This window comes from Homo sapiens, chromosome 5 (genome assembly GCF_000001405.40).
Source record: "Homo sapiens chromosome 5, GRCh38.p14 Primary Assembly".
In the NCBI taxonomy this organism is placed as follows: Eukaryota; Metazoa; Chordata; class Mammalia; order Primates; family Hominidae; genus Homo; species Homo sapiens.
Genome location: NC_000005.10, coordinates 92,473,788 through 92,491,777, shown reverse-complemented (window position 1 = coordinate 92,491,777; position 17,990 = coordinate 92,473,788). Strand labels below are relative to the sequence as shown.

Below are 17,990 nucleotides of genomic sequence, written 5' to 3'. Positions count from 1 at the left end.
TTTTTATAGAATACATGAATACATTTGGTTAAAATTTATATTTTATACACAATCCCAACACAATGCATAATTAAGTTTTAGAGTCAGCTAAAATCAAGGTAATTAAAAATATGAAAATCAGAGAAATCAAGTGACTTGCTAAAATTTTATCACTTTAGATCCGTCTCATGCTCATTACATTTTTGGTGACATCTAGGATTTTTATTTGTGTATCTATACCTGGTTCCACTTTCCCTTTAAATGTAACCTAGACAAACACCCACATGTTGAGTAACCTTCAATACTATAACCTCACTGCTCTTTCTCATAAGTGCTAAGTATATTACCAACTTAAAGCTGTTATGCCTGCCCCCTGCCATTCCCAGATCTTTGCATGGTTAGGTTCTTCACAGAAAGGAGCTGGAATTTTGCCTTGCCTAAGACATCTTTACCAATACACTAATTAAAATGCCATCTTTTATTCATCTTCTATCCCCTTACTCTGCTTTATTTTCTTCATGCATATATCACTACTCAAAAATATACAATTTATTAATCTGTTTACTTGTTGATTACCTATTTCCCCCACTAAAATATAAGGCCCATGATGACTCTGTCTTATTGTCACTGGAGTGTGTCTATGATTGAGTGAATGTCAGCAAAACTCTGTTGAAAGAATGAGGAACTGATTCTGGTAATGTCAGTGAGAATGCACAAGGGATAAATGGTGAGAAAATTGGGATTGCATATTCAACACAATTTACTAGACTAATTGTAGAAAGCAAGAGCAAGGAAAGTCAAGATTACTATGTGTTTTCCATTATGACTACTTAGGAAAGTAGATAAAACAGTATACAAAACGTATTTATTGAGAATATGATACATTTACCTTTGCCCATATGTTGAGGCATCAAAGAGGCATCCATATAAGCATATCCTTAAAAAAGATTAGAAGGATGGTTCTCAACCAGGGGTGCTTTTGGACCTCAGAGGACATTAGGTGATATTTGGAGACAGTTTTCATTGTCGCAACTGGGGGTTGCTACTGGCATCTGGGGGATAAAGGCTAGAAATATTGCCAAACATTTCACAATGCACAGGACAGCTCCCCACAACAAAGAATTATCCGGTTCCAGTTGTCATCTAGAAACTGAGTTATAAAGCAAGATAATGTGATATCAAGAAACTGGGTTGGAAATACAGGTAAAGATTATATAAAGATAAAATGAGATCAGACAAGCTATCCAAAAGAATGACTGCAGATATGTAATAGTAATAACTGACAATTTATCTAACATTACTGACAGGCACAGGTCTAGACATTTTGCATATATTATCTCATTCAGTTCATAAAGCAGAAATGTGACATAATGGTCATTATTATCATTGTTTTTGAGATAAAAATATTAGAGCTCATAAAGTGAAGCAAACTTGCTCAAAATCATAAAGCTAGAAAATAGTAGCACTAAGACTTAAAACCAGAGAGTTAGACCTCTGATTTCAAACACAAGTTTACAAATTACTTTTACAGTAACTTTTTTTAAAGGTAGCAAGGGAGATACAAATAATTAGTTAGAAGCTCAGAAAACCTATGAGAACAATCTGAAATTGAAGAAGCTCCCAAATACTTCTAAAAGCAGCTATCTTACTTGTGATGTGCAGTAGTTTGAGGCAATATCAGGATGGGGGAAAGATATTTTGAGTTCCAGAATCTCAATCTTGAGAAGCAGAAAATAAGATCAAGTGATAAATGTTTTGGAATAAAATATGACCTCTGAGAGAGCAGAAAGCTTGGAACAATCCTGTGGAAAATGTACTAAGGGTCAATATGAAGTACATTTTTAAAATGTGAGTAGGCAGGTAAGAGCCCAGATGAAATACAAAAGCATAGGTTTTTACAAAACCAAAACATCAATTTTCTTCCCTTTTCCTGGAAAGATGTAATTGATAGTGCATACTACCTGATGCTCGGCTTGACATGGAGTATGATAAAGTATAATTGGTAGAAGAACATCTCAGTTGGGTCCAAATTCATTGATGAAATGGCTGGTTATAGAATGACATGATGAGAGGATAGTCTAGATAGAGGACGTGGCTGAGTAAGGTCTGGTTCTGGAGGTTGTTATAATAAATACGAGTTAGATTAAGGGGACTGAAGGATGAGGTATGGATAGAAGTGTAGTTTAAAAAACTCAGTTTTCATAATTTTTTCCAACTCACTAACTGAGAAGGATTTTGATGTGTTGCTATTGAAGTCATAAAACCCATTAAACATAACAGCAAACTTTCCTCTATGAAACGTACTGACATGAGAAGAGTTTAACATTTGAGCTAGATCCTTCCTACTTACAGTGTTTTTCTCTGACGAGCAACATCTTCATCTCCTAGGGTAGACATTACTCATCATAAATGCAGAATTTCAGGCTCCACCCCAGAACTACTGAATCAATATTGGCCTTTAAAGATCTTCTGTGATGTGTATACCCGTTGACGTTTAATAAGCACCTCTCTAGGTTACTGATTTTTTCATACTGATTTTCTTGTATTTTTTCTAAGCCATGGATTCTTCTTGTGAAATAAAATATTATGTTAAATTGGGGATAGGTGCATGGCTAATGTCATGTCTTCTCACTCATCCATACTGCTGTCTGAGACGCTCCTAGTGCTCTGCGAAAAAGAGTTTGCAAACCACTGGCCAAAGATGTTTCAAGATCCTTAATTGTAGGTTCACATGTTGTGATCTGTGACACAATACTTATGTGACATTAGCCTGGCTATTGGAGTGCTAAATTTCCTTCATTCTTGACAACTGGATAGTTTTTAGTTGATCTGCTGTTTGATAAAACTACAGTTTATCTTTTCTAATGTAACAGACCTAATTGTTAGACTTTAAAGTTATATATAAATTGTTTTATTTTTCAACTGAACTCCAGACTTTGTTTGCATTTCACCAGTTAGTCCTTAATGTTCTCTTTATGTTCCATGTCTAATTTGGGGTACTACCTTGCACTGGGTTATCTTGGCTTCCCAAGCTCCAATGGCCTGTGAAAGATTCTTAGGCTTTCTTTGTTTTTTATAACCTTGACAGTCTTGAGGATTACTGGCTAGGTATCCTGTAGAATCGTCACCCAATCTGGGTTGGTCTAATTTTTTTTTTCTCAGATTAGTCAGGATATAAATTTTTGGAAAGAATACCAGAGAGGTGAAAATTTCTTCTCATCACATTATAGCGGCAGAAAATGATATTTACATTAACATGACTGATAAGATTAACCTTCATCACTTGGTAAATGTAGGTTTATCAGGTTTCCCTACTAATAAAAAACTCCTTTCCCTACCCTATTATTTGGGAATTACTCATACTTCAAAGGAGGTAACATTAAGCTCCACTTCTTAGAAGGTGAACTATCATGTATGTACATTTTTAATTTGGTTGCTCACAACAGTTTAATATTAGGAAGTGAGCTCTGTAGTTGATAGGTGGCCTCTTGAATGTAGGGACCTCCCCGTAATCTCTGCATCCCTAGCTTTAGGCAAAATGCTAAGAATGCAGTACATATTTCATAATTCTTTGCTATTTGAATAAAAAAGTTATTTTTTATAAAGTAAAAGTGTCACAGATTACACAGCATTTCAATTTCCAAAAGAATAGTTCTCCTCAGGTGGCAAATTTAAAAGGTTCATTGTGTGCCAGAAATGTTTAGAGTCCATGCTGAACATATCAACCAAAGGATTGTGTTGAAACCTGAAAACTTGTCTATGTTAGCTTATTTATCACATCTATAGTTTCGTACTTACTGTTTTATAAAATATACAACATTGGAAAAATGGTCTAATGGTGTGTTACTATAGCAACTAAAAATCTAAAATGTTTTTCAAATTATTTAGTATAAATAAACACAGAAGAGTGACACTAATTTCAACAAAATAATGCATCTCACTATATCTACATTATATATAAATTTACATGTATACATACAGAGATCTATGCGATTAACTTTTTGAATAGTATATTGCCATTGATTTATTCTTAGGTATAATGGTAATTTAGTTTACAGAATAGCTCAAAGGTTATTAAAACATATTTTAGTGGTGGTAGGTGTTGGAGTTCTAACTAATATTTTCCTTACCTTCACTATATTTTGAAAAATAGAATCATAGTGTGTGTATGTACATATATAAAAACATTTATACACATATAGTAATGCAGACAATGACATATTTCTTTATCAATTAGTATGATAGATGCAAATATATATGCTCATAAAGACATATAAGCCATTGTACAAATAAAACTGAAAGACATTATGCCTTTCCTTATGATACATTAGAATAAAGAAAATCTGTCTGTGTGGCACAAGGTTAATCTAGGGGAAAGTTTTCTATTATTTCTGACCTGTGAAAAATTTTCTAGTATTACTAGGAGCAATGAAAAATGCTATAAATTTCCTTAAATCAATATATTTTTGAATCGATCACCAGTGCTCACAGAAAAGGAAACTGGCTGTATTGTAACAATGATGATTTGTACATTTAATTATTTATAAGAATACAACAGTCAAGTCTCTAAAAATCTTTCCATAAATATTTCTCAATATGAATCTCTGTTATACACAGTAATGCTACTTCATCCTTGTTTCCAGCCATGTAGCATAAACCTTTTCATTAGTACATGCCTTCACTTATGGGAATTGCTTTAACAAAGGGATCTAGCACATCATAATGACTTTTAGAGTTAAGAGAGGACTGTGGCAAAACAATAAATACCCCATCTTATTAAGACACGTCAGTTATGGCAGTACTGAGCTGTTTTATATTTGGTTTCCCCACAACACATTTCAGTTCAGGCAGAAACCCAGGGATGCACTCCAGAGAAACACATAATGAGGTCAGATGGAAAATCTTGTCTTGTTTCAGATATGAATTCAATCCATCCTTCCTTTCATGTGAGACAATATTCACAGAAGCAACTGCCGCTGACATGTTTTAACTTCACTGACACTGAAAATCTTTTCTCCTCAGTTGGTGCTTTAGTCTTCACCTGAAAAAAAAAAACTACACAGAATATTATTAGAAATAGCCACAGATTTTAAAAAATCAGGTTGTGCCGGTTTATTCTTTTTTTATATTCATACACAATAACCTTGACTACCATGCCAGTTAATTTTTGCCTTATAAAATATAAATAATGTAAATGGATGCTAGTTAAGGCCATTGTTGTTGTTGTACTGTGTCTTTCGAAGTCGAGATTCTTGTAAATTGGGCAGGAGAAGCAGAAGATATAATGGTGTGGAAAGGGATAAAGAATAAAATAATAATGGCTTTATGTTTTCAAAACCACAACCTTGGCATTTAGCTGTCACAAGGAGGCTGTTCATTTTAAAACCAGCACCCAGATGCATGCCGTGTGATTGTATGAAGTCAGCGCAATGTGTCAAGACCTGCTTCTCTGGTCTTTTCTGTAACTATTTGAAAAAGAGCTAAAGAAATAACTTAGCATTGTTTGAATTGAAATTATTTATATTAACATTCTAATAAGTGTTCTCTTGCACACTATATGTAATTTTGTCCTTACTAGTAAGGAAAACTAGAGCAACCTGAATCCAGTAATCAAGTTGCCCATAAGAAAACAGAGGAGATACTTGATGCAAACATGGCCTTTGTTAGAAATTACATAGCATGGTATGGAAGGATGGTCTAAAAGGCAAAAAATGTTAATGTTCCTTTGAATGCACATTCCATGGTTCAGAAGAGATCTGTGTATGAAGATTTTTCCCTGTAAAAAAAAAAATACCAAATTGTAGATTTCTTTTGTGATATTCCTGCCTCAGATTTACTGTGTCTTTCCTACTTTGTGGGCAACATGTTCACAGGGATGGAATAGAAATAAGAAAAGGCTGGAATATTAGCATGGTTCCTACATTCCTACATTGAGCCTTAGAGTCCTAATTTAGCCTTCAGGAGGCAGCTGTTCAAGTCCCACCACAAGGAGCCAGTCCTTGCCCTCTTGAAGTTTTCACTTCTTCATTTGAAAAAACATTCTTTGTAGTGTTCTTTCTAGAATTAATACTCCTTTTTTTTTTTTATTTTAAAAGCATCCTAACTCTAGTGATAGAGTTTATTCTGTGAATGGAAAACTAAAGTAGAAATCATTTTTCCCCAAACTCTATTCTGTATGTGTAAGTATTGATGGTGACTTACTTAATCTCTGTATTAAAAACCAGTACAAGACCTATTTTAAAGGGCAGTGCTATAGTTTCAATATTCCCACCAAAACTTACATTGAGATTGAATTGCCATTTTACCAGTATTGGGAGTGGGGTCTTAAGAGGTGATTAGTTCATGAGAGCTCAGCCTTCATGAATGGATGAATGCTATTATCACCAGAGTGGGCTCTTGATAAAAGGATATATTTGACCCCATTTCTCTCTCTGTCTCATGCCCTGGCTTGCCCTTCCATCATGGGGTGAGGCCCTTGGCAGGTGCTGGATTCATTCTCTTGAACTTCCCAGCCTCCAGATATGTAAGCCAAATAAATCTCTTTTCTTTATAAATTATCACTGCTGTGGTATTTGTTATAGCAGCAGAAAATGGACTAAGACAGAGAGATTTACTATCTCCTGAACAGTATGCCTTGAGTTTCATAGAGAATGTTGCAAATCATTTCAAGTTAATATCAAGTTATCTTGTCATTCCGAATATAATTTTGAAGATGTAAGTTTTATCTAACATTCATAGTGAATGTTTCTGACCAAATGGTTCAATTCTAATACTTCAGTAAAATTAGTAGCATTTGAATCTGTCTACCTTAGTAGAGACTGAGACAAAATAAAAATATAGCCAATAAATGGCAAAGGAATGGAAGAGTCTACTGATGTTGGGTAAAAAATCTAGCTTTAAGTATATATCCAACTCTTTCTACTTAATGAGTGACCAGATGAGAAAGTTGCCAGTACAAAAGTTGGCCTTAAGTTAGTACTCAGTCAGCATGAGATGAATGAATACATGCTGAATACAATAAAGAACATGTATTAGTAAATAGAAAAGTACAATAAAACTAGGAAATATACTTTTGTAGAAAATAGAGGACACCCATTATCTATGATGTCATCACAAAAATGTCAAGTTAAGCTGCAATCAATCTTTACAAATTTTATTTATACTTTTAACTCCATATTTTTATCATTAAATTTATGGTATGAGACCATTAAATAATCCATGTCATGATTCACAAAATTATGAAATAGTCTAGTTTGTTCTTAAATTAAAAAAGTAGCATTTTCTTTATAAAAATTCAAATAGTTAAAAAATCAGAAAGCAAAAATATACATCCACTTGACACCCTAATTACTTCTGGCTCACTTCCTAGAAGTTTCTTCTCTAGTCATTAAGATTTGTTTTATAGGTATATAAGCATATTTTAAATGATATTACCTTACATATTTTATTGTGGTAAAATATATACAACAAAAATTTGTATTTTAATTATATTAAGTATGCAATTCAGTAACACTAAATTGATTCAATTTGTGCAACTGTTGCCACTGTCTGTCTCCAAATCTTTCATCACCCCAAACAGAAACTCTGTACCCATTACTCAACACCTTCTCTTTCTTCTTTACTCCCAACCCATGCTAACTTCTCATCTACTTTCTGTGTGTCTATGAATTTGCCTATTTTATATAATTTATGTAAGAAGAATCATATTATAATTATCCTTTTGTTTCTGGCCTATTTCATTTAGCATAATGTTTTCAATGTTCATCTATATTGCAGCATGCATTATGAACTTCATTTTTTATGGCTAAATAATATTCCACTGTGTGTATACGTCACATTTCTTGTTGCTCATGCTTTTGCTCATGCATCTTTGTTGCTCATCCTTTTGGTGTCATACCTAAGAATTTGTTGCCAAATCCAGGATCATGAACATTTGCCTATGTGATTTTCTCTAACAGCTTTATGTTTTTCAGCTCTTATGTTTAGGTAACTGATCCATATTGAGTTAATTTTGTATATACTATGAGGTAGGAGTCCAACTTTTTTCTTTTGCATGTGGAAATCCAGTTGTGCTTGCACCAACTGTCAGAGACTATTCTTTACTTATCGAATAGGCTTAGTATCTTTGTCAAAAATAAATTGGCTGTAGATTAATGGTTTATTTATGAACTCTCAATTCTAGTCTATTGGTTTGCATGTTTTGCCTTATGCCAGTACCTCGATGTTTTGATTTCTGTAGTTTTATAGTAAATTTTGAAACTGGGAAGTACAAGTCCCTCAACTTTGTTCTTTCATAAAACTCTTTTGTCTATTTGGTGTACCTTGATACTTTATATAAATTTGAGGATAGGATTTTCTATTTCTGCAAAGAAGGCTGTTATCATTTTTTCAGCTTTATGAAAGTGTAATTGACAAAAATCATACATATTCGAGGAATACAATGTGATATTTTGATACACGTATACACTGTGAAATGATAAATACAACCAAGCTAATTAACACATTTATCACCTCACATAGTTACATTTTTGGTATGATGTAAATACTTAAGAAGTACTTAGATGTATTTCTTAACAAATTTCAAGTATACTGTACATTATGATTAACTGTAGTTACCATGCTGTATGTTAGATCTCTGGAACTTATTCATTTAATAACTAAAAGCTGGTACCCTTTGACTAACATCTCTTCATTGCCCCAACCCCTTTATCCCTGGTAACCAACCTTCTACTCTGTTTCTATGAGTTTTACTATTTAAGATTTACTATTTAAGATCCGATATTTAGATCAGGCAGTATTTGTCTTTCTGCACCTAACTTATTTCACTTAGCATAATGTCTTCCAGGTTCAGCCATATTGTTACAAGTGACAGAATTTCTTTTTTTAAAGGCTAAACAATGTTCCTGCGTGTGTGTGTGCACACGCATGTGTATACACACACAATGGAACAATAGTGTAATTTATATAATTACACACACACACAGAAACACACCACATTATCTTTTCTCATTCATCTGTCAACAAACAGATTGTTTCTATATTTTGGTTATTGTGAATAATGCTGCAATGAACATGAGTGTGCAGATATCTCTTCAAGAAACTGGTTTCGTTTTCTCTGAATACATACTGAGATGTAAAATTACTGGATCATAAGATAGTTCTATTTTTAATATTTTGAGAAACCGCCATACTGTTTTCTATAATGACTTTACTAAATTATAATCCCATCAATAGTGTACAGAGTTCTCTTTTCTCTAGCTCCTTGCCAACAATTGTTTTTTGACTTTTGAAAATAGCCATTATAACAGGAATGAGGTGATATCTCATTATGGTTTCAATTTGCATTTCTCTGATGATTAGTGATTTTGAGCACCTTTCCATATACCTGTTGGCCATTTGTATGTTTTCACTGGAAAAAATGTCTATTTAGGGTTTTGCTCAGTTTTTAATAAGGTTGTTTTTTGCTATTGTTATTTTTAATATATTTTGTATATTAATCCCTTTTTATAGACGTGGTTTGCAAATATTTTCTCTCATTCTGTGGGTTGCCTTTTCAAATTGTTTATTGTTTCTCTTGCTGTGCCAAAACTTCAGTTTGATGTAATTCTGTTTATTTCTGCTTTTATTGTCTGTGCTTTTGGTGTTACACTAAAAAAATTATTGCCAAGAGCAGTGTCAAGGACCTTTCCCCCGTATTTTCTTCCAGAAGTTTTACAGTATCAGAATTTATGTTTAAAACTTCAGTCCATTTTGAGTTGATTTTTGTGTGTAGGATAAGGAATACAATAAGAGTCCAATCTTAGTGTTTTTCATGTGAATAGCCAGCTTTCCCAAGGTCATTTATTAAAGACAATGTCCTTCCGTCATTGTGCATTCCTGGCACCTTTAACAAAGATTAGTTGACTTTATATGTGTGGGTATATTTCTGGGCTTTCTATCTTGTTCCATTTGTTTATGTGTTTTTATGCCATTTTCAACACTGTTTCAATAACTATAGTTTTGTATCAATAATATAATTTTGTAATCAGGAAGTATGATGTTTCCAGCTTTGTACTTTATGCCCAAGGTTGCTTTAGCTATATGATGTCTTTCATGGATCCATACAAATATTAGAATTGTGTGTTAGTCCATTCTCACGCTGCTGTAAAGAACTGCTTGAAACTGTGTAATTTATAAAGAAAAGAGATGTAATTTACTCACAGTTCCGCAGAGTTGGAGAGGCCTCAGGAAACTTAGAATCATGGCAGAAGGCACCTCTTCACAGGGCAGCAAGAGAGATAATGAGTGCTAAGCAAAGGGGGAACCCCCTTATGAAACTATCAGATCTGGTGAGAACTCACCCACTATTCATTCTATTAATGTGACTAGAATTTTAATAGAATTTACATTAAAGTCAGGAGACTTTTTGGGTTGTATCAATATCCTAATAACATCCAATCATAGAACATATTTTCCAATCATAGAACATGGATGTCTTCCCTTTTGTTATGTCTTCTTTAATTTTTTTTACTAATGTTTGTGAAGTTTTCTGTGTACATGTCTTTCATCTCTTTGGATAAATTTATTTCTGTGTATTTTAATCTTTTAGATATTATTCTAAATGAGATTTCTTTCTTAATTTTCCTTTTGGACTGCTTTTTGGTAACATATAGACACACAACTGATTTTTGTGTCTTGGTCTTGAAACCTGTAACTTTGCTAAATTTATTTATTAGTTTTAGGGTATTTCTTGATTTTTTTTCATTCCTCCTTTCTATAGGATAATATCATATGTGAACAGAAATAGCTTAACTTCTTCCTTTTCAGTGTGTGACTATGTATTTTTCTTGACTAAATCATTCTGACTAGAATCTCTAGAGCAATACTGAATAGCAGTGGAGAAAATAGGCATCCTTGTCTTGTTCTTGACCTAAAAGGGAAAGCCCTTATTCTTTCAGCATTAAGTGTCATGTTATCTGTGGATTTTTCATAAATGCCCTGTATAATGTTGAGATGGTGTCTTCTATTCCTAGTTTATGGAGTGTTTTTTGTTTATCACAACATGGTGTTGAATTTCTTACATGACTTTTTTGCATCAATTAAAATGATCATATGTTTTCTTGTCCTATTAATGTGCTGTATTAAATTAATTGATTGTCATATGTTGATCTAGTCTTCCATTCTTGAATAAATCTCACTTAGTCCTGGTTTATAATTCTTTTAGCATGCTTTTGAAATTGAATTGCTAGTATTTTATTGAGAATTTTTGTGTCTATATTAATAAGGATTTTTTTTTGGTAAATTTTTTTCTTCTGTTGTCTTTATGTGGTTTTAGTATCAGGGTAATGCTGGCCTCACAGAATGAGTTAGGAAGTGTTTTCTCCTCTTCCATTTACTGGAAGAGTTTGAGAAGAATTGCTATTAATTCTTCTTTAAATGCTAGATATAACGTACCAGAGAAGTTATCTGGTCCTGGGCTTTTCTTTGTTGAGAGTTTTTTGATTACTGATTCAATCACTTTGCTCGTTCTAGATCTGTTAAGATTTCCTGCTTTTTCTTGAGTTAGTTTAGGTAATTTGTGTATTCCTAGGAATCTGTGTATTTTATCTTGGTTACCTAACTTTTTGGCATATAGTTGTTCATAGTATTCTATTATAACTCCTTTTGTTTCTCTAAGATCAGTAGTAATGTCACCACTTTCATTTCTGATTTTAGTTATTATCATCTTCTATCTGGTTTTGTTGGTCTAGTTAGATGTTTGTCAGTATTTTGTACCTTTTCAAAAAAATATCTTTTGATTTCACTGCTATTTTGTGATCAAAGAAAATACTTTCCATGAGTTTAGTGTTTTTAAATTTATTAAGATTCATTTTGTGGTCTAATGTATTGTCATTTCTGGAGAGTGTTACATGTACACTTGAGGAAAAATCATGCCCTACTATTGCTAGTTGGAGTACTGTATATGTGTCTGCTATGTCTTGTTGGTTTATCATGTTGTTCAAGTACTCTATTTTCTTATTGATTTCCTGTCTACAGTTTTCCATTATTAAGAGTGATGTATTCAAGTCTCCAAATATTAGTGTAGACTGTCTGTTTCAGTCTTCGATTCTATTAATTTTTGTTTCATTTATTTTGAGGTCTTGTTTGGTACATATGTTTGCAGCTTTTGTATCTTTTTGATGAATTGACTTTTTTATCAGTATATGTATTTTACCCTTACGCAACAGAGGTTTGAACTGCACAGATACACTTACACATTTTTTTTTGCCTCTGTCACAACTGAGACAGCAAGATCAACCCCTCCTCTTTCTTCTCTTCAGCCTACCCAATGTGAAGACAGTGAGGATGAAGACATTTATGATGATCCACTTCAACTTAATGAAGAGCAAATATATTTTCTCCTTCTTATGAGTTTCTTATAACATTCTTTTCTCTAGCATACTGTATTGTAAGAAAGCAACATAGAATAAGTTAACATATAAAGTAAGTGTTACCAACAGTAGGCTGTAGTAGTTTAATTACTGGGGAGTCAAAAGTTATATTTAAATTTACAACTGTATAAGGATTAATTCCTCCATCTCCAGTGTTGTTTGAGGGCCAATTATAATGTCCTTCTTTGTTTCCTGTAACAGGTTTTACGTTAAAATATATCTTGTCTGATTTTAATATAGTCACTCAAACTCTCTTATGGCTACCATTTGCATCCAACATTTTTTTCCATCCTTTTGGTTTCAACCTGTTTGTGTCTTGGATTGAAAGTGAGTTGCTTGTGGACATCATATAGTTCAATCATATTTAAAAACTTCATGCTGTCAATCTCTGCTTTTTGACTGGACAGTTTAATCCATGTACATTTAATTTAATTTAATTACTAATAAAGACTTACTTAGCTGAAGTCAGGGAAAGAAAACAAAATTACAAAAACAAATAAGCAAATAATTTAACTGGTAGATGAAGATCAGAATCTGTTTTCTAAAAATAAATTTGAGCAAATCAGTTTCTACAATATGTGTGAATACATTTAATATTCCAATTTTTAAAAATTGAACTTCTCAGATGAGATATAAAATACACAATAAACAGCAATCATGTTGGTTTCCCATTACTGCTATAATGAATTACCACAAACATAGTGTCTTAAGACAATACAAATTTATTAGCTTATAATCCTACAGGTCATAAGGCTAACACGAGTCGCATGGCTCATCATACAGCCTTGTTTCTTTTGGAGGCTCCAGAGGTGAAGTTATTTTCTTGCCTTTTCTGGCTTATAGAGGCTTTCAATATTCCTTGGCTTATGGCCCATTCATTCATCTCAAAAGTCAAAAATGGTGAGTTAAGTCCTTCTCATGTTGCATCTCTCTGATCCTTCTTCTACCACTCTATACCACTCTCTGGCCACAGCCAGGAAAGTTTCTCTGCTTTTAAGAAATTGTGTGTTTAACTTGGACCTAACCTGATAATACATATTAATCATCCTATCTCAAGATCCATAATCTCAACCGTATATTGTTTTGCCAGGTATGGTAGTACATTCATAGGTTTTGGAGATTAGAATATAGAAATATTTGGAGCCATTATTCTGCCTACAACAGTCATATGCTGTATATGAGAGGGTAACTAAAATATATTGACAGAAAATTTGAAGGTAAAGGAATAAAAAAACTCATAGTGTCCCAATACTGGCCAAAATAATATTGGTGTCGATATGACATTATTAGATAAAATATTCTTTCATCTTAAAGCATTATTAAGGAAAAACATATATTTTCTTCATTTGATTGAGGGTACAGTTTAAATAGAAGTCAGTTTCCTCTGCTCACCTGCCTGAGAATGTCCAAGGCCTTACTTCCCATTTTTATATAAATATAAAAGCTCAAATACAAGTCATTGGTGCCATTTTAAGGACCTTATGCTTTTCTGATCAAATTAAAGCTTTACTACACTAGTTTCACTGCTTGGCCTACACATTTGGCCTAAGGAATGCCTAGTTATTGAGATTGTTTTGTTTCTAAAGTGATTTAGGTGTCATTTGCACTGTAATATCAAAATCCTTCAGCATAGGGCCTAGAGAATGCCAATTGCAAATGCGATCAGTGCTACCTCAGAAGGTCATACAACGCAAGGTGAAAAATCTGGGATTTGTTTCAAAACACTAGTTTCATTTAGTAAAGTAATCTTGTGAAAGTTAGTTAATTTCTTTGGAAACTCGCCTTATTTTTCAGTATGGTTAAAATTTGTAATGCAAATCAAGTAACCATCATCAATATTAAAGATGTTAAAGGAAGAGACTATAATGTTAATAATACATGAGATATATCACCTAGTATGGGAATATATGTGGCGCATATTTTAATGGTTAAGAGCATGGCGTCTGGAGCTAGACAGCCTGACTTTTAATCCTTATTCTTCTCCTTAAGCAGTGTGACCTTGGGTAAGTTACTTAACTCTTCTAAACCTCAGTTCCAAACCTATAAAGTGGAGTTAATAGAACATAACTCATAGGATTCTTATAACAATAAGGTATGTTACTATTTGCACAGCACTACTTGCAAAATAAGTACAATATAAATCAATACACTTTTGTACTTTGATCAAAATGCCAGGCAAACAATAAGTCTTTTTTGAGTCCAGTACCTATTACTGCTAAGAACTGTGCTGGCTAAAGTGAATTTTATATATATATATATATATGATATTTCATATAAAACGTGTCCTGAAAATGACATATATACTTTAAGTAGATTAGAAATATTCAGTTTATGCACTGTATAGCCCTAGATAAAATAGAATTCATAAATTTAGAGATTAGCTTAAATTTTATTATTTTATAAGGAGAGAACAATTTAACAGTATGTGGGGTCAGGGGGATGCCAAAGGAAGGATAGATCACTGTAATAAATCTATGGTACATTCCTTTGCTCTTTTAATGTTTCTCAGGTGCTGTAACTGCACAGGTAAAAGGCAAAAAAAAAAAGGGGGGTGCTGTCAGACCCACAATGTATTAATAAGCCACATGTACTTAAAGTAATAGCTGAGGCCTTTTTAGTGTAGGCAGCAATGTATCCTCCAGACTACAAGCAGAAAGTTGAACCTCTTACATTTAGCATACACTTGTAGGCCCAGTACTCTGTACTCAAGAATTTGAGGGATTATATAATAATGAGGGAAAACACATGGTTATTAAAGCTGAGAAAGGATAACAAAATGGCTAGAAGGAATTTTTAGGGGTATACCAACGATGTGTTTGAAACAATACAATGGCAATATTAAGTGCTTAGAAATGATGGTCCAGATAGACATCAATGATATCTGACTATTTCATCAAAGCAACATGAACACCCAAAGCATCCAACAAGTACAATGTCAGCAACATTCAGCAGCTGAAGTGTCCTAGTGTTAGTCCCTATAGATGATCATTCTTACGTAATCCAATTTAATTATTAAAGTTCTATATATTCACAGATAAAACAATACAAGTTTTCTTGAATTTCTCATTGATATCACTATCATCTATGCATGTAATTAGCATATCAACATATTTACCCCAAGATCCTCGGGGATATGCATTCTTTCATTAGGTTTCCTAATTGGAAAACCTCCCTAACCTTAAGATTTAGTCACTTGCAAAATAATGAGGGCAAGAGAAACTATTTGGTGAAAGCTTAACAAAGTTCTCTTCTTTACCATTTTAGATTTTTTTTTTTGCATCGCTGAAATGCAATTTTAAAATAAAATCAAACTCCTCAAGAGCAACACACAATTACAAAGCCTGTGTGAAATGGAAGATCAAGATGGCTACCCTGTGCTTCCCTTGTGGAAGTAAATCCTATTATCTATTGTTTTCTATCAGAAACCCACAGAGGGATTTCCTCAAGGCCCAAATACTGCTAGTATTAAAAGCTCTTCTAATTCACTGAAAATATAAGCATCTTTATAGTTTTATCAGTCCATCTCTTTTTCCCCTTTCTGTCTACTCATTGCAGAAAGCTTTTCCTCTCCTCTCTTCTCCTCTCCTTTTCTCCTCTTCTCGTTTCTCTGTATGTATGCATGTATGTATGTATATATATTTACATACATTTACATACTTTCTGTACATATAGATACTATATCTACACATTTGAAAATATCTCTGCTAAATTTATGTAATGAAAAAATCTAAGGTTTAAAGACCAATTTTTTAGATCTTTTATAAAGTTAAGGATGATATCAGAATATTGAAGTCAACTTGATGCTTTAAATTTTTAAAAATGGAATACTTAAATTTCTTTCACCTTACCCCTGTTTTAACTTTAAAAAGATATTTTACTATATTCTTGGAAACTATTTGAGCATGAACAACATTTACAATATAATTAAATTCTAAACTATCTTAGTCCATTTAATGCTGCCATAACATAATACTTGAGACTTGGCAATTTATAAAGAAAAGAGGTTAATTAACTCACAGTTCCAGAGGCTGGAAAGTTTAAGGGCATGCTGCTTCAACTCATGGCAGAAAGCAGAAGATGAAGATGGGTACAAGACGGATACATGCAAAGAGATCATGTGGCAAGAAAGGAAGCAAGAGAGACAAACCAAAGAAGCCAGAGTTTTCAGACTTTTTTTTAAACAACCCACTCTTTCAAGAACTAATCCATTCCTGTGAGATCACTAATTTGCATACCTCCAAGAGAAGACATTAATCTATTTGTGAGGAATCCACCCCCAAGATCAATCATCTTTCATTAGGCCCCACTTCCCAATACTGCCACATTGTGGATCAAATTTCAACATGAGTTTTGGTGAGACAAACCACATGCAAACCATAGCATTCTGTCTCTGGTCCCCTCAAAACTCATGTCCTTTCACATACAAAATACTATCATTTCAATCCCAATAGTTCCAAAAGTCTTAACTTGTTTCAATATCAAGTTAAATGTCTAAAGTCCAGCTATGAGCCTATATATATATATATATATATATATATATATATATAGTTTATTTCCTTCCATGTTACAATATGGAACATACATAGGATAGGCATTTCTATTCCAAAAGGAAGGAATAGGCCAAAAAAGAAAGAAGTTATAGGCTTCAAGCAAGTCCTTTACCAAGCAGGCAGAATGTTAAATCTTAAACTTATAGAATAATCTCTTTTGATTTCATGTTCCACACGCTATGTACACTGATGCCAAGGATGGGCTCCCAAGGCCACAGGCAGCTCTGCCCCCATAGCTTTGCTGGGCATAGTTCTCATGGCTGCTCTCATGGGTTGAAGTTCAATGCCAGCTGCCTTTACATGCTGAGTTTGCATGCTGCAGTGACTCTACAATTCTAGGGTCCCAGTAATGGTTTTTCCTCTGTGTTCATTGGCCATTGTCCCGGTGGAGGCTCTCTGGCAGCTCTGCCCCACATTTCCACTTGGCATTGCTCATTAAGGGCTTTCTGAAATGGTTCCACCCCTGCAACAAGTCTCTGCCTGGGCCTACAGGCTTTTCCATACATTTTTTTGAAATCTGGATGGAGGAATTCACACCTCCACAGCTTTTGCATTCTGTGGGCTTGTAAAGTTAATACCGCACATGGAAGCCATCAAGGCTTACTTCCTGTGTTCTCTGTAGCAGCAGCATGAGCCACACCTGGGGCTGCTTGAGCTATGGCTGCTGCAGCTACTGATCAGGATAGGGTGAGTAGCAGCACTCTGGGCCTGTCCCTGCAAACCATGCTGCCTTCCTAGGCTGCTAGGCCTGCAAAAGGAGAGAAAATCTCAAAGATTTCTGAAATGCCTTTAAGGCTTTTTCCCATTATTTTAACTATAAGAACTTGGCTTCCTTTTTGCCGTGCTAATCTTTTTAGCAAGTGGTCTCTCAGCCAAACCCTTGGATTCCTTTCTTGAAAATGCCCTTTTATTTTCTACCACATGGCCAGGTTATGAATTTTCCAATTCCTTATGCTCTGCTTCCCCTTTAGTTATAAATTATGCTTTTAGGTCATCCTTTTGTTGCCATAACTTAGCATAAGATATTAAAGGTGACCATGTAGCTTCTTGA

At 33.7% G+C, this 17,990-nt stretch overlaps 1 long non-coding RNA gene across 2 annotated transcripts in view; it reads right to left on the bottom strand.

The window, feature by feature from the left end:
* Nucleotides 1-822: 822 nt before the first annotated feature.
* LOC105379080 (uncharacterized) overlaps nt 823-17,990 on the bottom strand; it is a 166,831-nt gene continuing 149,663 nt past the window's right edge. For both annotated transcript variants that reach the window (XR_001742806.2, XR_007058867.1), the window contains one exon: nt 823-5,020. This is a non-coding gene — a long non-coding RNA (uncharacterized LOC105379080). The remainder of the gene's footprint in view (nt 5,021-17,990) is intronic.